At 52.7% G+C, this 22,819-nt stretch overlaps 1 protein-coding gene across 1 annotated transcript, besides 1 other annotated feature; it reads right to left on the bottom strand.

The window, feature by feature from the left end:
- Window positions 1-701: 701 nt before the first annotated feature.
- On the bottom strand, window positions 702-22,710 carry YJU2 (YJU2 splicing factor homolog). The gene is made up of 8 exons (NM_018074.6): window positions 22,620-22,710; window positions 20,462-20,562; window positions 18,619-18,763; window positions 15,301-15,435; window positions 11,367-11,548; window positions 7,676-7,796; window positions 2,016-2,166; window positions 702-1,206 (listed from the first exon to the last, which is right to left on the bottom strand). Exons 1-8 carry the CDS (start codon window positions 22,641-22,643, stop codon window positions 1,094-1,096), a joined length of 972 nt encoding a protein of 323 aa, NP_060544.2. The 5' UTR covers window positions 22,644-22,710; the 3' UTR covers window positions 702-1,093.
- Window positions 22,551-22,640: an enhancer, noted in NCBI's record as "active region_13766". NCBI's record gives its function as "activates an Ori minimal core promoter by ATAC-STARR-seq in GM12878 lymphoblastoid cells {active_cell/tissue: GM12878}" and the evidence as "EXISTENCE:reporter gene assay evidence [ECO:0000049][PMID:35858748]".

Here is a 22,819-nt window from a genome sequence, read left to right as displayed (position 1 = left end):
AAGACCAGCCTGGCCAACATGGTGAAACCCTGTCTCTACTAAAAATACAAAAATTAAGCCAGGCGTGGTGGCGGGCGCCTGTAATCCCAGCTACTCTGGAGGCTGAGGCAGGAGAATCGCTTGAACCCGGGAGGCGGAGGTTGCAGTGAGCCAAGATCGCGCCATCGCACTCCAGCCTGGGGGACAAGAGCGAGACGTCGTCTCCAAAAAAAAAAAAAAAAAAAAAAGGTAAAGAAAGAAAAAAAAAAAGAAGAGAAAACAAAAAGAGCCCAGATGCACACTCAGGCGACAACTAAATATAAATATCTGGGCTCATGCCTGTTACAGTGGCTTATGCCTGTGACCCCAGCACTTTGTGAGGCTGAGGCAGGAGGATCACTTGAGCCCATGAGTTCAAGATCAGCCTGGGCAACATGATGAAACCCAGTCTCTACTAAATATACAAAAAGTTAGCCAGGAATGGTGGCATCCACCTGAGGTCTCAGCGACTCGCGAGGCTGAGGTGGGAGGATCACCTGAGCTCGGAAGTTCAAGGCTGCAGTGAGTCAAGAATACGCTACCGCACTCCAGCCTGGGCAACAGAGTGAGATCCTGTCTCAAGACACAAACAAACCTCTGTGGAATGACCCTCGAATTGTGCTAACAGAGGAGGTCCTGGGACCTCCTCATCAGACTCTGGGAGAGAGAAGGGGCCCAGGCGGTTGGCAGGTTTCCTTTTATTGGTTCTAGACAGTTTGTGGAAGGAAGAGATGAGGCCATCTAGAGGCCGGCAGGCTCGCCCAGTGCCCCAAACACTGCCACCCTGAAGTAGTGTTGGAAGCTGCTCCAGGGATGTTGCAGCCCTAAGCACAGTGACAGGTGGGGGCAGGAGCAGCAGGGGTCCCCGAGGTGTTGAGAGGCTGGTGAGGGCACAGAGAAGGGACCTCCTGGGGCTGAGGCCCCTGGTGGCCCTATGTGTTGGAGCACGCTGGCGCTTGTCTGTCCGGCCTCCAGTCACGCCAAGGCCTCCTGCCCTGACCACCAGCAATGCTGGCCTCAATGTGGCTGAAGCTGGACGTGTGACTTTGACCCCGTGAGGGGGTCCTGGGAGGGCTCAGTTGCTGCCGTTGCTGTCGTCACTGTCCAGGTATGCACCCAGTTGGCTCAGGGAGGACGCGCCAGGCGTCAGGGGTGTAGGGTTGGCCTCCTTCCTGTTCTGCGGGGCTCCTGGTGGGAGAGCGAGAGTTAGCTCATCTCAGCTCCACAGCAGACAGGCCAGGGACAAGGCACGGGGCCGGCCACCTCTGCAGGTTTGCAAGGTCCAGAGGTGACAGCATGTGAATGGCCTGGCCTTTCTGGATGGCACCTGATGGGACCCATTGCAGATTTACATCTGCACACCCGGGACTCAACAGCTCCGCTTCTGAACAATGGCCAATGCAAACCTTGCCCAGGCAGGCAACGTGCGCTGCCAAGAATGGAAATGGCGCAAAGTTCACAGTCCAGTCACTGTGGACTTAATCGCCTTAGGAAACATCATACTAAGGCAACTAAAAGACAAAAACAGGCCGGGCGCGGTGGCTCATGCCTGTAATCCCAGCATTTTGGGAGGCCGAGGTGAGTGGATCACCTGAGGTCGGGAGTTCCAGACCAGCCTGACCAACATGGAGAAATCCCACCTCTACTAATAATACAAAAATTTAGCCGGGCGTGGTGCTGTAGTCCCAGCTACTTGGGAGGCTGAGGCAGAGAACTGCTCAAACCAGGGAGGCGGAGGTTGCGGTGAGCCGAGATGGCACCACTGCACTCCAGCCTGGGCAACAGAGCAAGACTCTGTCTCAAAAAAAAAAAAAGAAAAAAGAAAAAAGAAAAAAAGAAGCCGCCTGCCTTCTCTGCTCACTCCACTAATTGGTCCTGTGGGGGTCGCAGGCCGCCCCCACCCACCCCATGAAGTCTCTGTAACTGCAAAGGGAGCTGCTGCCACCTACAGGCCACTATAGAAACCGCGCCCGGCTCTGGGAACTCTGTGACCTTACCTGGGGTGGGGGCCGCCTGAGGCTGCCCGTTGCTGCAGTCCGGGTCGGCCTTTGCCTTCTTCACCACGACCAGCCTCGACAGCGGGGGCCGGCTGCCCAGGCTGCCAACGCTCTGCTCCCAGACCTCCACCTTCCTCTTGGGCTTTGGGGCCTGCAGGTGATGGGGACACATGTGGGGGTCTGGCCCGGATCCAGGGCCCAGTCTGGCCCCTCGCCACAACCCCTGCTCACTGCCCCATGCCCACTCTTCCACTGCTGCACTGACCACATTCCTCCTCTGCTCTAAACTCCTCTATGGCTCCCCACTGCCCTAGGCTTGGCACTCAAGGCCTCTGCCCATTCTCCATCCCACATAGCCTGGTCTGGCACTTCCTGAGTCACACCATGGCTTCTCATCTCCACGCCTTTACCCATGCTATTCCCTTCACCAGGGATGCCCCCTTTTCCATGCACTCGCTTGGTGAACTCCTACTCACCCTTCAATACCCAACACAAGACACCCCTCCTCTGAGAAGCCCATCATGGTTCAAGCTCACATGCAGGCTGCATGTCCACGCTCACAGTGCCCTCTGCTGGCTGTTATAACTCTCTCCCCAACTCTGCCGTGAGCTCCTGTCTTCCCCACTGCTGGCTCTGCGGTGCCACAAACAGTTCCTGGCACAAGGAGGTGCTCAATGTACTTGAGAGAACGAGTGAAAATGGAGGAAGCCGCCTTGAGAAAGAGTTAGGGGCAGGTAGAAAAGGCCTCCAGCTCCTTAACTGCAACAGAAGGGACCCTTTAATCTATATTATTAAAAAAATTTTTTTGGGGGGAAGGTCTCACTCTATTGCCCAGGCTGGAGTGCAGTGGTGCAATCATAGCTCACTGCAGCCTCGAACTCCTGGGCTCAAGCGATTCTCCTGCCTCAGCCTCCTGCAGGTGCACGCCACCATGGCAGGCTAACATTTTTAATTTTTGTAGAGACGGGATCTCGCTATGTTGCCCAGGCTGGTCTCAAACTCCTGGCTCAAGCGATCCTCCCGTCTCAGCGTCCCAAAGAGCTGGGATGACAGGCGTGAGCCACTGCATCTAGCCTCTTCAATCTGTTTTATGTTTAAATAGAGGAAGTGGTAACCACTGGGTTAAGGAAGTCCCAATGGGTGCTCTGCCCTCACGGAGCTCACCGTGTGGGGAGGGAGAGGGACAAGGAGACCAATACCCAGGATAACATCCATCTGGGTGAGAGAGAAGCCAGGGTGCGTGAGCTTGAATTGTGAGGATGAGCTTCTCAGAGGAAGGGCGTCTTGCATTGGGTATTGAAGGGCGAGTAGGAGTTCACCAAGCGAGTGCTTGGCAAAGGGGGCATCCCAGGTAAGGGGAATGGCATGGGTAAAGGCGTGATGAGAAGCCACAGTGTGATTCAGGAAGTGCCAGGGCAGGCTAGGTGGGATGGAGAATGGGCAGAGACCTTGAGTGCCAAGCTGACGGTGTGAGGGGCGGCCACTGCTAAGGTGGTGGAGAGGCCTCCTTAAAGTTGTGGCTCTGGGCCGGGCGCAGTGGCTCATGCTTCTAATCCCGGCACTTTGGGAGGCCAAGGCAGGTGGATCACGAGGTCAGATAGAGACCATCCTGGCTAACACGGTGAAAGCCCGTCTCTACTATAAATACAAGAAATTAGCCAGGCTTGGTGGCACACGCCTGTAATCCCAGCTACTCGGGAGACTGAGGCAGGAGAATCGCTTGAACCTGGGAGGCAGAGGTTGCAGTGAGCCGAGATCGTGCCACTGCACTCCAGCCTGGGTGACAGGGCGAGACGCCGTCTCGAAAAAAAAAAAAAAAAATGTCGTAGCTCTGGGCTGATGTCAAAATGAGGAAAAGAAGTCAAAAGGCACAGATGGCCAGGCACAGAGGCACACACCTGTAATCCCAACACTTTGGGAGGCCGAGGCGGGTGGACCACTTGAGGTCAAGAGTTCGAGACCAGCCTGGTCAACATGGTGAAACCCCGTCTCTTTATTAATAAAAAGAAAATACAAAACCTAGCCAGGTGTGGTAGCACACGCCTGTAATCCCAGCTACTCAGGAGGCTAAGGCAGGACAATTGCTACAGGCTGGGAGCCGGAGGTTGCAGTGAGCCGAGACCGTGCCACTGCACTCCAGCCTGGGCGAAAGAACAAGACCGTCTCAAAAAAAAAAAAGTTACCTAGGTTAGTTCCCAAACCTGTTTCTACAGGTGGTACTCATCATCATTAAACTAAACTAAGGATTGGGAGGCCAAGGCGGGAGGACTGCTTGAGGATAGGAGTTTGAGACCAGCCTAGACAACATACAGACTCGCCTCTAAAAAAAAAAAAAGAAAAGAAAATTAAAAATTAGCTGGCTGTGGTGGCACACACTACACACTTGTGGGTCCCAGCTACTTGAGAGGCTGAGGTGGGAGGATCATTTGAGCCCAGGAGTTGGAGGCTGCAGCGAGCTGTGATCGCGTCACTGCACTCCAGCCTGGGTGACAGAGCAAGACCTCATCTCTAAAATAAAAATAAAATAAACCAAGAAAACGCAAGTGTGGAGATATTCCTTCCTATAAAAGTTAGGGTGAAGGTTTGAAAAGTCTTGATGAAGGTGAATCACGTTAAAACCAAATAAAACACCTGCTATCAAATCAGGTAGAGGCACAAGACTGAGGGAGTAAATCAAAAAAGGTTGGACTGCTTTCAAAGTACCTTTACTCTGTTGATTCATTCAAAAAAAAAAGAAAAGAAGAGAGGAAGTTGTAGACAATGAATTCTGGGAGTGGTTTATGTGAGAACCACAGTGTGAGAACTCTAATCAGAGGACACAGCTTCAAAGAAAATGTCTTTTAGAAAAATGTCTTGGGGCCAGACATGGTGGCTGATGTCTGTAATCCCTGTGCCTTGGCGGGAGAACTGCTTGAGGCCAGGTGCGTGAGACCAGCCTGGGCAACACAGCAAGACCGCATCTCTGCAAAAAGAATTTGAAAAATTAGGGGCCAGGCACAGTGGCTCACGCCTGTAATCCCAGCACTTTGGGCGGCCGAGTCAGGTGAATCACCTGAGGTCAGGAGTTCTAGATCAGCCTGGCCAACATGGTGAAACGCCATCTCTACTAAAAATACAAAAATTAGCCGGGCATGGTGGCAGGCGCCTGTAATCCCAGCTACTTGGGAGGCTGAGGCAGTAGAATCGCTTGAACCCGGGGGGCGAAGGTTGCAGTGAGCCAAGATCACACCACTGCACTCCAGCCTGGGCAACAAGAGTGAAACTGTCTAAAAAAAAAAAAAGAAAGAAAGAAAAGAAAAATTAGCCAGGCGTGGTGGTGCGTGCCTGTGGTCCCAGCTGCTCAGGAGACTGAGGTGGGAGGATTGCTTGAGCCTAGGAGGTTCAGGCTGCAGTGAGCTGGGACTGCATTACTGCACTCCAGCCTGGGCAACAGAGTAAGACCCTGTGTCAAACAAACAAACAAAAAAGGAAGAAAGAACAATCGTTTCTTTTTTTTTTTTTTTTTTTTTTTTTGAGACAGAGTCTCGCTCTGTCGCCCAGGCTGGAGTGCAGTGGCACAATCTCGGCTCACTGCAAGCTCCACCTCCTGGGTTCACGCCATTCTCCTGTCTCAGCCTCCTGAGTAGCTGGGACTACAGGCGCCCGCCACCACGCCCGGCTAATTTTTTGTATTTTTAGCAGAGATGGGGTTTCACCGTGTTAGATAGGATGATCTCGATCTCCTGACCTCGTGATCCACCCGCCTTGGCCTCCCAAAGTGCTGGGATTACAGGTGTGAGCCACCGCGCCCGGCCGAGAACAATCGTTTCTGTGTGTCTGTGTTATTGGTTTATGAGCCCCTACTTTTACCACCTTCTTCAATGAACAAACCAGAGTGGCTGAGGCCACCTTGGATGAGTCAGCTGTGGTGGAAAATGCTGGTCATCCACCAAAACTCCTTCCTCCTTTTTTTTTTTTTTTTTTTTGAGATAGAGTCTCACTCTGTTGCCCAGGCTGGAGGGCAATGGCACAATCTCAGCTCACTGCAACCTCTGCCTCCCAGGTTCAAGTGATTCTCCTGCCTCAGCCTCCCGAGTAACTGGGATTACAGGCAGGCACCGCCATGTCCAGCTAATTTTTGTATTTTTAGTAGAGACAGGGTTTCTCCATGTTGGCCAGGCTGGTCTCGAACTCCTGACCTCAGATGATCCGCCTGCCTCGGCCTCCCAAAGTGCTGGGATTACAGCACTTTGAGCCACGGTGCCCGGCCTCCCTTCGTTCTAGTTGGCAGCACAGCCAGGCACGGACCAGCTGGAGGATGCATCTCACAGTTTCCTTCGCCACCAGATGGGGCCTTGTGACTATGCTGTGGCCTCTGGCATGAGAGAAGAACTGAGGTGGGCCGCATCTGAGGCTGCGTGGTCCTCCACACACTTTTTGCCTTCCCACAGCCGGACCCTGAAGGTGCTCTGAGCCAGCTGTGGCCACAGCGCAGGAAGCCGTGCTCCAGAAGGAAGGAGGCTGAGTCCCTGAATGGTTCCAAGGAGCAGAGCTGCCCGAAGTCCTAGACTGTCAGCCCAGGGCTGTTATGACTGAGAAATAAATTTCTATGTTCTTTCTTTACATTCTCTTCTTTCGGCAGCTTAAACAGGGGTTGGCGAATTACAGACCCATAGGCCTGCCACCAGTTTTAGTAAATTAAGTTTTTTTTTTTTTTTTTTTGAGACAGAGTCTCATTCTGTCACCCAGGCTGGGGTGCAGTGGCACGATCTCGGCTCGCTGCAACCTCCGCCTCCCGGGTTCAAGCGATTCTCCTGCCTCAGCCTTCTGAGTAGCTGGGATTACAAGCGTGAGCCACTGCACTCAGCCTTAATTTTTATTTGTTTATTTTAGACAGGGTCTCACTCTTGCTCAGGCTGGAGTTCGGTCATACTGATGCAGCTCACTGCAGCCTTGACCTTCTGGGCTCAAGCGGTCCTCCTGCCTCAGTCTCTCAAACAGCTGGGACCACAGACATGCACCACCACCCATGACTAATTTTTGTAATTTTGTAAAGAAGGGGTCTCACTTTGTTGCCCAGGCTGGTCTCAAACTCCCGGCCTCAAGCGATCCTCCTGCCTTGGCCTCCCAAAATGCTGGGATTACAGGCATGAGCCACTGCACCCCGCCTATAAATAAAGATTTATTGGCACCAGGCAACACCCACTTATTTACACCTGATCATGGGTGTTTTGGGCTACAGCCACAGGGTGGAGGAGTTAGGGTGCAGACTGGCCTTTTAAGAAAAAGTCAAGTTCTGGTCGGGCATGGTGGCTCACGCCTGTAATCCCAGCACTTTGGGAGGCCTAGGCGGGCGGATCACGAGGTGAAGAGATTGAGACCATCCTTCCCAACATGGTGAAACCCCATCTCTACTAAAAATACAAAAAATTAGCTGGGCTTGGTGGCGCGTGCCTGTAGTCCCAGCTACTCGGGAGGCTGAGGCAGGAGAATCGCTTGAACCTGGGAGGCAGAGGTTGCAGTGAGCCAAGATCGTGCCACTGCACTCCAGCCTAGGCGACAGAGCGAGACTCCGTCTCAAAAAACAAAAACAAAAAACAAAAGAAAAAGTCAAGCTGACCCCTGGCTTCAGTTGTCCCTAGTTCACCTGGGAGCCCCCAGGACTCAGGCACCCCACTTACCTCATCCAGGATGGCGGTGGGGTTGGGCCGAAGGGCTGGCTGCAGGGGCGAGGGAGCAGCCTCATCCTCTGAGTCGGAGTCCTCCAGCAGTCTTCGCTTTCTGGCTTCCTCCAACAGGGCCCTGTGGGATGGAAGATGGGAACTTGGACGTGCTCTGTTTGGGGAACAGTGCCTGGGATGTACCTGCTGGGGTGGCGAGGGGCCTGGGTGCCTGGAGACCTCTTCCTGCCCTCAGTGAGCAGGGGTGGGAGGGAGTAGGGGGAGCACAGATTACTTTTTTTTTTTAAGAGACAAGGTCTCACTCTGTCACTCAGGGAGGGTGAAGTGGCACAATCACAGCTCACTGCAACCTCAACCTCCTGGGCTCAAGCGATCCTCCCCACTCAGCTTCCTGAGTAGCTGGGTCCACAGGCGTGTTCCTATGCCTTATTAAATTTTATTTCATTTTATTTTTGAGACAGAGTCTCGCTCTGTTGCCCAGGCTGGAGTGCAGTGGCGCAATCTTGGCTCACTGCAACCCCCACCTCCCAGGTTGAAGCGATTCTCCTGCCTCAGCTTCCCAAGTACCTGGGATTACAGGTGCCTGCCACCACACCCGGCTAATTTTTGTATTTTTTTTTTCTTTTTTGAGATGGAGTCTTTGTTGTCCAGGCTGGAGTGCAGTGGCGTGATCTTGGCTCACTGCAACCTCCGCCTCCTGGGTTCAAGCGATTCTCCAGCCTCAGCCTACCGAGCAGCTAGGACTACAGGCACGCACCACCGTGTCCAGCTAATTTTTGTATTTTTAGTAGAGGCGGGGTTTCGCCATCTTGGCCAGGCCGGTCTCTAATTCTGGGAGTGGTTTATGTGAGAACCACAGTGTGAGAACTCTAATCAGGGGATATAGCTTCAAAGAAAATGTCTTTTAGAAAAATGTCTTGGGGCCAGACATGGTGGCTGATGTCTGTAATCCCTGTGCCTTTAGAGGCCAAGGCAGGAGAAATGCTTAAGGCCAGGAGCATGAGACCAGCCTGGGCAACACAGCAAGACCGCATCTCTGCAAAAAGGATTTTAAAAATCAGGGGCCTACATCCCCTTACCTGGGATGACCCCTTTGCCAAGCACTCGCTTGGTGAACTCCTACTCGACCTTCAATACCCAATGCAAGACGCTCTTCCTCTGAGAAGCTCATCCTCATAATTCAAGCTCACGCATCCTGGCTTCTCTCTCACCCAGATGGATGTTGTCCTGGGTATTGGTCTCCTTGTCCCTCTCCCTCCCCACACAGTGAGCTCCGTGAGGGCAGAGCACCCATTGGGACTTCCTTAACCCAGTGGTTACCACTTCCTCTATTTAAACATAAAACAGATTAAAGGGGCCAGATGCAGTGGCTCATGCCTGTCATCCCAGCTCTTTGGGACGCTGAGACGGGAGGATCGCTTGAGCCAGGGGTTAGAGACCAGCCTGGGCAACATAGCGAGACCCCGTCTCTAAAAAAATTAAAAATGTTAGCTAGGACTACAGGCACATACCACCATGTCCAGCTAATTTCTGTAGTTTTAGTAGAGACGGGGTTTCACCATCTTGGCCAGGCTGGTCTCGAACTCCTGACCTCAGGTGATACGCCCACTTCAGCCTCCCAAAGTGCTGGGATTACGGGCGTGAGCCACCGACCGCACCTAGTCTACTTTTTAATTTTCATTTTTTTTAGGAGGAATCTTGCTCTGTCGCCCAGGCTGGAGTTCAGTGGCACCATCTCGGCTCACTATAACCTCTGCCTCCCGGGTTCAGGCAATTCTCCTGTCTCAGCCTCTGGAGCAGCTGGAATTACAGGCATCTGCCACCACGCCCAGCTAATTTGTTTTTGTATTTTTAGTACAGATGGGGTTTCGCCATGTTGGCCAGGCTGGTCTCGAACTGCTGACCTCAGGTGATCCGCCCGCCTCAGCCTCCCACAGTGCAGGATGGCAGGCAGGAGACCCTGCGCCCGGCCCCTTCTACTTTTTTACATTAACTTTTCCGTGTCCACCGAGGGCAGTGGTGTGGTTAAGTGCCTGGATGCCGGAACCAGCCTGTCTGGATGGAGCCTGGAGGGTAACCTTGGTGGGGCTCATGCCTGGACCTCCCTGGACCTCAGTCCCCTCCATGATGAAGATCACACTGACCCCCAGGGCTGTGTGGGTAGTGAGGTTACAGCCACGCCCGGCACCCGGAAGGTGCAGGATGAACGCAGGCTCCCAACACTGTTCTGCACGGTATCGCTGCTCTGCACACCCATCAGGCACTGACGTGGAACCTACCAGAACCTACCTGCTGGAAGCCCTGGGGACACAGGAGAGGCCACCACGTCCCTGTCCTTACAGCTCAGATTCTAAAGGAGGGAGGGGAGATGAGGCACCAGGAAAGGAGGGGATCAGCACGCGGGCTCAGAGGTGGTCGGCGTCAAAGGCATTCACCAGCCAACCACAGGGGCTCACACGTGTCATCCAGCACTTCAGGAGACTAAGGTGGGAGGATCGCTTGAGGCCAGGAGTTCAAAACCAGCCTGTCCAACATAGCGAGGTCCTGTCTCTACAGAAATAAAAACAATTAGCTGGGCATGGTGATGTGTCCCTGTGGTCCCAGCTACCCAGAAGGCTGAGGCAGGAGGAACGCTTGAGCCCGGGAGATGGAGGCTACAGTGAGCTATGACTGCACTACTGCACTCCAGCCTGGGCGGCAGAGCAAAACCCCGTCTCAAAGAAAAAGAAAAGCGTCGTCCGGGCGCGGTGGCTCACGCCTGCAATCCCAGCACTTTGGGAGGCCGAGGCGGGCGGATCACGAGGTCAGGAGATCGAGACCATCCTGGCTAACACGGTGAAACCCCATCTCTACTAAAAATTACAAAAAATTAGCCGGGCTTGGTGGCGGATGCCTCTAATCCCAGCTACTCGGGAGGCTGAGGCAGAATGGCATGAACCCGGGAGGCGGAGCTTGCAGTGAGCGAGATGGCGCCACTGCCCTCCAGCCTGGGCAGCAGAGGGAGACTCCGTCTCAAAAAAAAAAAAAAAAAAAAAAAAAAAAAGAAAAGTGTTCACCCAGGAGGCCTGAGGCTGTGTCCTCAGAAGGCGGCTGGTGAGGGCGTCCCTTGGTGGGTGTCCGGGAGCCTGTGCTGGGGGCCTCCCACCCTCATGGATGGGACGGGCTCTGGGGCTTCAGCTGTTCCTGCAAACACCATGGTTTATGCGTGACCCCTGCTTTCCTCTGGAGTCTGGAATCCCGGCATGGGTGAGGCAGCGGGGGCTGTGGGACCAGGCCCCATAGGAACCCCACGCTGGGTCTCTAGGAGCTTCCCTAGTGATGGCGCCTTTCTCGAGTCCTCCAGGCTGGTGCTAGGGGATGAGGCGCGTCCTGCGAAGCTCCACCAGGAGAGGATCTGGAAGGCCTGGCCCCCGACACACCACACATGCCTTTCCCCTTTGCTGAATCTGCTGTGTCCTCTCGCTGTGACAAACCGCAGCCATGCGGGCGACCACGTGCTAAGTCACCGTGCCCGGCAGTGGCCTGGGACCCCCTCGAGAGACGCCACAAGGGAGAAAGTGAGATGGGCGGTGGGAAAGGGGTCCTTGCAAAGGCGACACTCCAGAGAGCGGGGAAAGGGTCTGGGGCAGAGGCAGCGCCTGCCGGGGCAGAGGCTGCGAGGTGGGGCTGGGTTGGGCCGGCCCTGACTCACGCGGTCTCCTGCTCGTCCTCCTCCTGCTGCTGCCTCCGCCGCTCCTCCTCCGACAGGCGGTGCTGCCTCAGCATAGCCTCGAAGTCCACGTGCGCCTGCCGCTGGTTCAGGTCTTTCAGCTCCTGGAGGTTCTCCAGCACCTCCATCTCCAGCTTGGAGTCCTTGGTCCGGTTCTCCAGCACCTGGCGGGCGCGGGGCGGCGGGGCTGAGTGCATGGGGATCGCACCACGGGGCAAACCCTGTCTGGCCTCGGGGGCCACTGCGGGCCACGGGAGGAACCCCTACCCCCACGTTTCCATCCTGCTCAGGGAACCCCCTGCCCATGCCCAGCGCTGTGTCCATTTCACAGGTGAGAACACTCAGGTCTGGGGAGGGAAAGTGACCACATGGGGCTGAGCAGTGGTGGAGCCGGGATCTGAGCCCTGGGGCAGGGTGGGGTGGAAAGAGGCTGGCTCTGGACCCAGGTGGCCTGGATTTCTGGCCTGGTGCCATCTTTCAGTAAGAATAATAAGGAAAAATTTGGCCAGGCACAGTGGCTCACGTCTGTAATCCCAGCATTTTGGGAGGCCGGAGCGGGCGGATCACCTGAGATCAGGAGTTCGAGACCAGCCTGGCCAACATGGTGAAACCCTGTCTCTACTAAAAATACAGGCTGGGTGTTATGGGTCACGCCTGTAATCCCAGCACTTTGGGAGGCCGAGGCAGACAGATCACTTGAGGTCAGGAGTTCAAGACCAGCCTGGCCAACATGACGAAACCCCATCTCTACTAAAAATACAAAAAGTAGCTGGGCGTAGTGGCATGTGCCTGTAATCCCAGCTACTTGGGAGGCTGAGGCAGGAGAATTGCTTGAACCCGGGAGGCAGAGGTTGCAGTGAACCAAGATTGCACCACTGGACTCCAACCTGGGTGACAGAGTGAGACTCCATCTCAAAAAAATAAATAAATAATAAAAATACAAAAATTATCCAGGCGTGGTGGCACACACCTGTAATCCCAGCTACTTGGGAGGCTGAGGCAGGAGAATCACTTGAACCCAGGAGGCAGAGGTTGACTGAGCTCAGATCGTGCCAATGCATTCCAGCTTGGGTGACAGAGCGAGACTCTATCTCAAAAATAATAATATTAAGGAAAAATTGTAAAAGACAACCTGAGCACCTACTGTACACCGGGCCCTGGGCTAAGAGGTTTCCATATGCCATCTCATTTAATCCTCACAACCCCCATTTTACAGAAACGGAAACTGAGGCTGAGGGAGGCGAGTCTGGTGGCCACGGGTCCCTGAGAAGTGGCTTTGGAGCCAGGCAGGTTGGGAGTGAATCCTGCCTGGCTGCTTCCCAGTGCTGTGACCTTGTTGTATTTACCCTTTGGAAAAATGGCAATTCTGACAGTTTAAAAGTATGTCCACAAACTCTCTGATGCTCCTCCATTTAAGGGGTGGAGGTGACTCCCCTCCCCTTGAGCAGGGGCTGGACAAGCTACTTGCTCTAATGGAATATGACAGAAATAATGGCACGTAACTTCTGAGACTAGGATGTAAAAGCACAGGCCTTCCTCCTTGCTCTCACTCTTGGGTCACATGCTCTGGGGTACGCAGCTGCCATGTTGTGAGGTTGCTCAAGCAGCTCCCCACACAGCGAGGAACTGAGGCTGACAGCCAACAGCCAGTAGAGGGAGCCAGTTTGCGAGTGGCTCCTCCAGCCCCAGTCCAGCCTTCAGATGATACTGCCCTGGCCAACACCTTGACTGCAACCTCATGGGAGCCCCCAAGCCACAACCATCCAGCTCAGCTGCTTCTGGATGCCTGACTCTCAAAAACTGTGGGATAATAAATGTTTGTTGTTTTCAGTCACTAAGTTTTGGGATAACCTGTTATGTAGCAATAGCTGACTAACACCAGGGTAAGAGCCCCTTGCTGTCAGTGTGGAGGTAACTAAATTCACACACAGACAGCAGTGCGACAGGCCCAGGCACACACCAAACCCTTGCCAAGGCTCATTTCCCTCCCTGTTGCTCTGCATGGCCATGGAAAATGTTGTATCTGGTCTGATGTGGCTTGCTCAGAAAACTCACATTTGGCAGGGGTGGGTGGGTCCAGGAATAGATAAGAATGGATGGGAAATATGGAAGCAGGAGGGGACAGCAGGGAACACAGTCATTTAAAAATCTGTTTTATATATATATGTGTATGTATATATATGTATATGTGTGTGTACATATATATATATATATATATATATATTTTTTTTTTTTTGCGACAGTCTTGCTGTCTTCCAGGCTGGAGTGCAGTGATGTGATCATAGCTAACTGCAGCCTCAACTTCCTGGGCTCAAGTGATCCTCCCGCCTCAGCCTCCCTAGTAGGTGGGACCACAGGTGCACACCAGTACACCTGCCTAATTTTTGTTGTTGTTGTTGAGACAGAGTTTTACTCTTGTTGCCCAGGCTGAAGTGCAATGGCGCGATCTTGGCTCACTGCAACCTCCGCCTCCTGGGTTCAAGCAATTCTCCTGCCTCAGCCTCCTGAGTAGCTTGGATTATAGGCGCGTGCCACCACGCCTGGTTAATTTTTGTATTTTTAGTAGAGACAGGGTTTCGCCGTGTTGGCCAAGCTGGTCTTGAACTCCTGACCTCAGGTGATCCGCCTGCCTCAGCCTCCCAAAGCACTTGGCTGATTTTTTTTTTTTTTTTTTTTTTGACACAGAATCTTGCTCTGTCACCCAGGCTGGAGTGCAGTGGCATGATCTCAGCTCACTGCAGCCTCTGCCTCCTGAGTTCAAGCAATTCTCTGCCTCAGCCTCCCGAGTAGCTGGGATTACAGGTGTCTGCCACCATGCCCGGCTAATTTTTTGTATTTTTAGTAGAGACGGGGTTTCACCCTCTTGGCCAGGCTGGTCTTGAACTCCTGACCTTGTGATCCACCTGCCTTGGCCTCCCAAAGTGCTGCGATTACAGGTGTGAGCCACCACGCCTGGCAAGCACCTGGCTAATTTTTTAATGTTTTATAGAGACAGAGTCTCACTATGTTGCCCAGGCTGGTCTTTGACTCCTAGACTCAAGTGATCCTCCTGTCTCAACCCCTAAAGTAGCTGGGACTACAGGTTCAAGCCACCATGCATGGCTCCTTTTAATATTTCTGAGAAAATACAAAATTGTCCTATTGGAAGTGAACATAATTTCTTTTATTTATTTATTTTTTTTGAGACAGAGTCTTGCTTTGCTGCCCAGGCTGGAGTGCAGTGGTTTGATCTCGGCTCACTGCAACCTCTGCCTCCCGGGTTCATGCAATTCTCCTGCCTCAGCCTCCCAAGTAGCTGAGATTACAGGCATGCGCCACCATGCTTGACTAATTTTTTTTTTTTTTTTTTGGAGACAGAATCTCACTCTGTCACCCAGGCTGGAGTGCAGTGGCGCCATCTCGGCTTCCTGCAACATCTGCCTCCCCGGTTCAAGCGATTCTCCTGCCTCAGCCTCCTGAGTAGCTGTAATTCCAGAAGCGTGCCACCATGCCTGGCTAATTTTTGTATTTTTAGTAGAGACGGGGTTTCACCATGTTGGTCAGGCTGGTCTCAAACTCCTGACCTCGTGACCCACCCACTTCGGCCTCCAAAAGTGCTGGGATTACAGGTGTGAGCCACTGCGCCCAGTGTTAAGTTTTAAAATTTTTAGTAGGAACAGGGTTTCGCCACATTGGCCAGGCTGGTCTAGGACTCCTGACCTCAAGTGATCCTCCCGCCTCAGCCTCCCAAAGTGCTGAGATTACAGGCATGAGCCACTATGCCTGGCCTCCTGGGGACATCTTAAAGTTTTACCAACCACGCCCCCCACCCCATCTTCCTTCCTTGGGGACCTGAGGCAGGAAGGGCACAACCATTGGCACACACACACACCCACACACACAGCGCCCATGAACACCTACATGGCCCCCGACTCACCTTCATGGGGTTGTTCAGCTCCTCGTCCTCCCGCTCCTTCTGCACCCTCTTCTCCTCCTCCTCCAGGAGCTTCTCAGCCTGGAAATTCCGCGTGGCTCCATGCTCCATGGTGTAGTCTGTGTTTTCAGGGTCTGTCTGCAGGGAGGATAGACAGACATCAGCTCCTACATCCCCAGGCACTAGAATCTTCTAAAGTACCACCAGCAGATCAGGGCCCCTTCTCTCTGATTTTTACTGGTTCTACTACCTTCTCTTTTTCTTGTCTTATTGCTTTGACTGGTGAGATTTCTTCCTAGTGCTCCTCCCATCTCCATGGGCAAAAATGCCCAACTCCCTGGCATGGACTTTAAGACTCTTCTCATCTGCCCACTGCCTCCCTGCATCCTCCACTCCCTACCCTTAACATGACTGCAAACAAACTCTCCAATGAGGCAGGTGGATCACTGGAGGTCAGGTATTCAAGACCAGCCTGGCCAACATGGAGAAACCCTGTCTCTACTAAAAATACAAAAAATTAGGCAGGGCAAGGTGGTGCATGCCTGTAATCCCAGCTACTCTGGAGGCTGAGGCATGAGAATCACATGAACCTGGGAGGCTGAGATCACACCACTGTACTCCAGCCTTGGCTACAAAGTGAGACCCTGTCTCAAAAAAAAAAAAAAATCTCCAAGGTTCTGCACATGTTGTGATTTCTGCCCTTTGTATTTATTAACACCTTTTCTTTGATTATAAATCACATGTACAAATATGTATACAGCATGCCCCTGTTTTTGTTTATTGAATAGAGAGGCTAAATACACCCTGGTATCTTAAATTACACACTGGAACAGAAAAGTGACATTAGCAGAAAAACTGAAATCTACCTTTGGTCTAAATGCTAATAGTAACACTATGTTTTTTATTTTTTTGGGGACAGGGTCTCGTGCTGTTGCCCAGGCCGGAGTGCAGCGGCAGGATCATGGCTCACTGCAACCTCAGCCTCCCGGGTTCAAGCAATCCTCTCACCTTAGCCTGCCGAGTAGCTGGGACTACAGGTATGCACCATCACACCTGGCTAATTTTTAAATTTCTTTTTGGTAGAGACAGGGTTTCGCCATGTTGCCCAGGCTGGTCTCTAACTCTTGGACTCAACCGATCCTCCTGCTTTGGCCTCCAAAGTGCCGGGATTACAGGCATGAGCCACTGCACCCAGCCACAGCCTACAATGTTAATGGTAACATTCCACCTTTAGTTTCTTTTTTTAATTAAAATTTGTGTGTGTGTGTGTGTGTGTGTGTGTGTGTGTGTGTGTAGACACGGACAGGGTCTCACTATGTTGCCCAGGCTAGTCTTGAACTTCTGGTCCCCAGCAATCCTCCTGCCTTGCCTTCTCAAAGCGCTGGGAGTAAGCCACCATGCCTGGCCCCACCCTTAGTATCTTACTGTGACAGATGTACCCTGGTTATATAAGATGCTAATATTCGGGGAAGTTGGTGAGGGGGTAGGTGAGAATTATCTGTACTATCTTTGGAACTTTTCTGTAAATCTTCAGGTATTTCAAAAAAAGTTTTTGTTTGTTTTTTTGCAGACAGGGTCTCACTCTGTCACTCAGGCTGGAGTATAGCAGTGAAATCATGGCTCACTGCAGCCTTGGCCTCCCAGACTCAATTGATTCTCCTGCCTCAGCCTCCCAAGTAGCTAGGACTATAGGCGCATGCCATCATGCCCAGCTAATTTTTATATTTTTTTGTACTGACGGGATCTCACTATGTTGCCCAAGCTGGTCTTGAATTCCTGGATTTAAGCGATCCTTCTCCCTTGACCTCTCAAAGTGTTGGGATTACAGGCGTGAGCCACTGCACCCAGCCAAAATATTATTATTATTATTAATTTATTTATTTATTTTTGAGACGGAGTCTCGCTCTGTCGCCCAGGCTGGAGTGCAGTGGCGCGATCTCAGCTCACTGCAAGCTCCGCCTCCTGGGTTCACGCCATTCTCTTGTCTCAGCCTCCCGAGTAGCTGGGACTACAGGCACCCGCCACCACGCCTGGCTAATTTTTTTCTGCTTTTTTTTTAGTAGAGACGGGGTTTCACTGTGTTAGCCAGGATGGTCTCGATCTCCTGACCTCATGATCCGCCTGCCTCAGCCTCCCAAAGTACTGGGATTAGAGGCGTGAGCCACTGCGCCCGGCCTATTTTTGTATTTTTTTTTAGTAGAGTTGGGGTTTCATCATGTTGTCCAGGCTGGTCTCGAACTCCTGACCTCAACTGATCCACTTGCCTTGGCCTCCCAAAGTGCTGATTATAGCTGTGAGCCACTGCGCCCAGCCCAAAATGTTTTTTTAATCAAAGAAAAAAAGCTTATGGCAAAAAAGTATTCAAAGAGTACTTAAGCATAGGAAGAGAAAATTTTAAGTTATCTTCAGTCTTTCCTTAAATTCTCAAGGTAACAAATAAAAGTCAAATTGCAATTTTTATTGGCTGTGTAATATTCCATTGCACGCTACTTTTTTTTTTCTTTTTGAGACAGAGTTTCATTTCGTTGCTCAGGCTGGAGTGCAATGGCGCAATGTTGGCTCACTGCAACCTCTCCCTCTCGGGTTCAAGCGATTCTCCTGCTTTGGTCTCCCAAGTACCTGAGATTACAGGCATGAGCCACCACGCCTGGCTCACTTTTGTATTTTTAGTAGAGACGGGGTTTCACCATGTTGGCCAGGCTGGTCTCAAACTCCTGACCTCAGGGGCTCTCTTTCCTGCCTTGGCCTCCCAACCTGCTGGAATTACAGGCATGAGCCACTGTGCCTGGCTTTTTTTTTTTTTTTTTTTAGTTGGAGTCTTGCTCTGTCACCCAGACTGGAGTATAGCGGTGCAATCTTCGCTCACTGCAACCTCTGCCTCCCAGCTTCAAGTGATTCTCCTGCCTTAGCCTCTCGAGTAACTGGGATTATAGTCCGCCACCATGCCCAGTAATTTTTGTATTTTTAGTAGACATGGCATTTCGCCATGTTGGCTAGGGTGGTCTTGAACTTCTGACCTCAGGTGATCTGCCCGCCTTGGCCGCCCAAAGTGCTGGGAGTACAGGTGTGAGCCATGCCCAGCCTGCATGCTAATTTGTTCTTCTCATCCCTTATTATTATCTATCTAGGTTGCTTCTGTCTTTTTGCCTTTATTTAGAATGCTGCCATGAACATCTCCCCCAAACTGTTGTCTGTTTCTTGGGGATAAACTGAAATGAGATTCCCTGGATGGAGAGGATTGGAGTTAAGGAACCCCAGGGCCCGCCCTGATCTGAGGTGTGCTGGGGGAGAGGGACCGGCCTGGCCGGCCGTCTCACCTACCTTGAAGGTGATCTCTGCCAGGCAGCGCGTGCACTTGATGTAAAAGCGGAAGATGGGCAGGCCCAGGTAGACCTCGTTCTGCACCGTCTCCTTCCGAGCATTGAATTTCTTCCCCTTGTAGATGTATTCTCCGCACGTCTTACACCTGCGGGGCAGCATGTAGGGATGTGAGCTGTCTTGGGACGCTGGCTCCCACTGGCAGGCTGTCCCTGCGGCATCCTGCAAGATCACTGCTTGCTTGCCTCCAGCAACGGGGAGCTCCCTCCTTCAAGAGGCAGGCTGCCCCACCCTGTGTCCAAATTTCCTCTACCTGAGAACTTCGTGTTCTCATTCATATCTTCCTGGGGCTCAGTCCAAGGGTCGCCTGCTTGGGAAGCCCCCTGAGTAGGTGAGGCCTGCCTGTCATGCACTCCCAGAAGCAATCTTTGTGCTTACGGGGCACCCCACCCTCCAGGAGGAAAGATGCCACACAGAAAAATGCTGCCCCACCCCCCTCTTCCCCTCCTACTCCGGGCTCTGCTCCCCAGCCCAGCACGCCCGCCTCCTGTCTGATCCTGCAAACACCCCCAGCTCAGTCCCAGCTCAAGGCCTCTGCTCCTACAGTCTCATGGCCGGCGACACCCTTCATCCTCAGACCTCAGCGCCACCAGTATTTTGCCTGATGTCACCGTACCCCAGCTACCTATAGCCCTCCCTCCTGCGCCACTGCCCCAGGGGCTCTCTCCTGCCTGACTTCGGGGGCCCGTGCACCTGCCTGACTACCACTATTCTCCACTTCCCATTAGACTGTGGGCTCCATGAGGCCAGGGACTTTGTTCCTGGCGCTCGGCACAGACCCTGGCACACAGCAGGTGCCCAATAAATGAGTGTTGAATGAATAAATGAATGAATGAGGGGGAGGAGTAGACAGGCCAACAACACATGGGCATGAACCGAATTTCACTGACCCAGATGTCTCTTTCCTCGTTAGGTGCGTGATTTCAGATATGCTAGAGCATGAAAAGGTATGGGGTTGAGAGTTGGTGAAATACAGTAATTCTGAAGTGCTACAAAAGGCAAGATCTGGGCACCGTGAGGGGATGATGGAGGCCTCCCGGAGGGGTGAGATTGGAGCCATGACCTATGGCAGACAAGAGGAGCCTGCCATGTGTAAGTAGAAGGAGAAGGCCAGGTGCGGCAGCTCACGCCTGCAATCCCAGCACTTTGGGAGGCCAAGGAGGGCAGATCACCTGAGGTCAGGAGTTCGAGACCAGCTTGGCCAACATGGTAAAACACCAACTCTACTGAAAATACAAAAATTAGCCGGGCGTGGTGGTGCACGCCTGTAATCCCAGCTACTTGGGAGGCTGAGGCAGGAGAATCGCTTGAAGCCAGGAGGTGGAGGTTGCAGTGAGCTGAGATCACGCCACTGCACTCCAGCCTGGGCAACACGGCAAGACTCTGTCTCAACAAAAAAAAAAAAAGAAAGAAAGAAAGTAGAGGGAGAGAGTTCCAAGCAGGGGCAGCAGTGTGTGCAAAGGCCCTGGGGTAGGAACGAGCTTGGCTGTTGGAGGAGCTGAAATATATCTATGGGGCTGCATCTCTGTGGCGTCCTATCCTCTCTGCACACACGTTTACTAACCACCATGATCTCAAGGCAGGCACTGGCTGGAGGGCTCTAAAAGATCCAAAGCTTAATCCCAAGTGGTGAGGCGAAGGAGGGTTGGAATGGTCAATGTCTGAGCCAGGACAATGTCTAAGACCAGTGATCTGGTCTTAACACCGGACGAGTCACCTCTGTGGATGCCAGGCACTGCGTCCTTCAGCCATGACTGGTGTGTGGGGTCACGCAGGGGGTGCTCACCTCATGTTGAAGGGGGCCATCAGCCGCACCACGTACTGCCGGTCTTTGGGGAGCTTGAGTTTGGGGATCTTTGATGGGTCAAAGTCCGGCGGGTAGTATTTCTGCAGGGGAGGAAGGAAACGTTGGGGGAGTTATTTTCAGAAGCAGGGGCAGGACATGGCAGAGGGAAGGGGCTCTGGGGAGCTGTGTCGGGGGTCCCCAAGCCCACCCCAGGTTCCGCGACAGGCAGGGAGGACTCGCAGGACTCAGTACAGTCAGAGGGAGGCCAGGCACAAGCTTCCTGACTCTCTCCTAGTGGAGTTATACAGGACGCATTTAATTCTCCTAAATACCAGTCATGACAATACACATGAAATGCTGTCTACACGGGAAGCTCTAAAAAGCCAGGGTTTGTTTTTGTTTTTGTTCTGAGACGGAGTTTTGCTCTTGTTGCCCAGGCTGGAGTCCAGTGGCGCGATCTTGGCTCACTGCAACCTCCGCCTCCTGGGTTCAAGCGATTCTCCTGCCTCAGCCTCTACAGTAGCTGGGATTACAGGCGCCCACCACCACTCCCCGCTAATTTTTGTATTTTTAGTAGAGATGGGGTTTCACCATGTTGGCCAGGCTAGTCTCGAACTCCTGACCTCAGGTGATCCACCTGCCTTGGCCTCCCAAAGAGCTGGTATTACACACGTGAGCCATCATGCCCTGCCCTTTGTAGAGGTTAAGCTTTGCTTAGCACTTCTGTTGTTCAGGCAGGAGACCGAGTTCCCCGAGGAGTCCCAACTCCCCAGCAATTCTGTAGAGGGTAAACCAGGACTCTGTTAGCTCAGCCTCCCAATCACGATACTACATCCGTTTCCTACAGAGTCATCTCCCTGGATCTGAATCCTGAGGAGCTGAAACCTGCAGGGCTCAGTTTACTCCTCTGTGAAATGCGCACACTGTCCTCTGTCTCCAAGAGTCTTTGCACGCATTCCTTGAGGCAAGGGGGATAAAGTGCTCTTTGCAGTGTCTGGCACCCAGTAGGTGCTCCAAACACAAAGTGCTTTATTTTCCAGTGGTGCAGTGGAGGTATCTGTCATAATCCATACTCACACTCCCTTTGTATCCCAGGGCTCCTGTTTCCCAGGAGTTCCTACAGCAAGCCTGAGACTGCTCTCCTAGAAAGACCTGCGTGGGGCCGGGCGCGGTGGCTCACGCCTGTAATTCCAGCACTTTGGGAGTATGAGGTGGGTGGAATGCCTGAGATCAAGAGTTCAAAACCACCCTGGGCAACATGGTGAAATCTCATCTCTACTAAAATACAAAAAAAATTAACCAGGCATGGTGGCGGGCGCCTGCAGTCCCAGCTACTCAGGAGGCTGAGGCAGGAGAATCGCTTGAACCCAGGAGGCAGAAGCTGCAGTGAGCCAAGAACGTGCCACTGCACTCCAGCCTGGGAAGCAAGCGCAAAACTCCATCTCAAAAAACCAAAAAACAGAAGTGTGCCAACAGTATAGTTTATACTGAACCTCTGCTTTTCTTCTGGGAGTCTGGAATCTTGGCCACTGTCAGGCAGAGGTTATCTGCATGACCAGACCCCAGTAAAATCTTGGCCACTGTAAGGCAGAGGTTATCTGCATGACCAGACCCCAGTAAAAAAAACAAAACACACACACACACACACACACACACACACACACACACACACACACACACACACACACACACACACACACACACACACACACACACACACACACACACACACACACACACACACACGCGCCACCCCACCCCACCCCACCCAAAGTACACGATTGGTTACAGTCCCCAAGTGGGGCGGGGCTTCTCAGAGCCACGCCCCTCAAGAAGAGGGCAAAACACGGCCGCCAGCATTTAAGGAAGCCCCGCCCCCAGAAAAAAAACCCTATCTGGTGGTGATTGGGTAAAAGCCCAAGCCACGCCCCGCAGGTGACTAACTACACCCCAGCCCAGAAGGGAGACTTAGCGAAGGCCCACCCCCCCGACGGAAGGCGATGGGGAGGAGTCTAGGGAGGAGTCTGGGAAGCCCCATCTCGCGGAAGGCCGCTGGGAAAGAAGGGTTCCAAAGAAGAGATCTCAGGAAGCTCCTCCCTCTCCCGGAGTTCCGGGATGTCCTGCTCCGATTGAAAAGCCCCAGTCGCCCAACACTTACGTTTAATACTTTTCGCTCCGACATCTTTGCCTTCTGATCACCTCGCAAGCACCTGAGAAATGGTTAGGCTGGGTAATTATCGAGCTTTTCCGACGGAAGCCTTACTTCCGCAAACGTCACTTCCTTCGGCCGCTATTATTGGCTGCAGCATACACAGCAGACCTCTTTCATTGGTTCCAATCCCCGCCTATCAAGCTGGA

The sequence above is a fragment of the Homo sapiens genome, chromosome 19 (assembly GCF_000001405.40).
Source record: "Homo sapiens chromosome 19, GRCh38.p14 Primary Assembly".
In the NCBI taxonomy this organism is placed as follows: Eukaryota; Metazoa; Chordata; class Mammalia; order Primates; family Hominidae; genus Homo; species Homo sapiens.
Note: the sequence above shows the minus strand (reverse complement) of the source record. Positions and strands in the feature narration are given on the sequence as shown.

What these genes read in the sequence shown, in the direction of transcription:
- YJU2 (NM_018074.6), bottom strand. Translation starts at nt 22,643, where the DNA reads ATGTCGGAGCGAAAAGTATTAAAC. An exon ending in ATGGCCCCCTTCAACATGAG is followed by an intron (nt 18,764 to 20,461) that starts GTGAGCACCCCC and finishes GCTGCCCCGCAG; the next exon opens with GTGTAAGACGTGCGGAGAAT. An exon ending in AGCTGAACAACCCCATGAAG is followed by an intron (nt 11,549 to 15,300) that starts GTGAGTCGGGGG and finishes CGCGCCCGCCAG; the next exon opens with GTGCTGGAGAACCGGACCAA.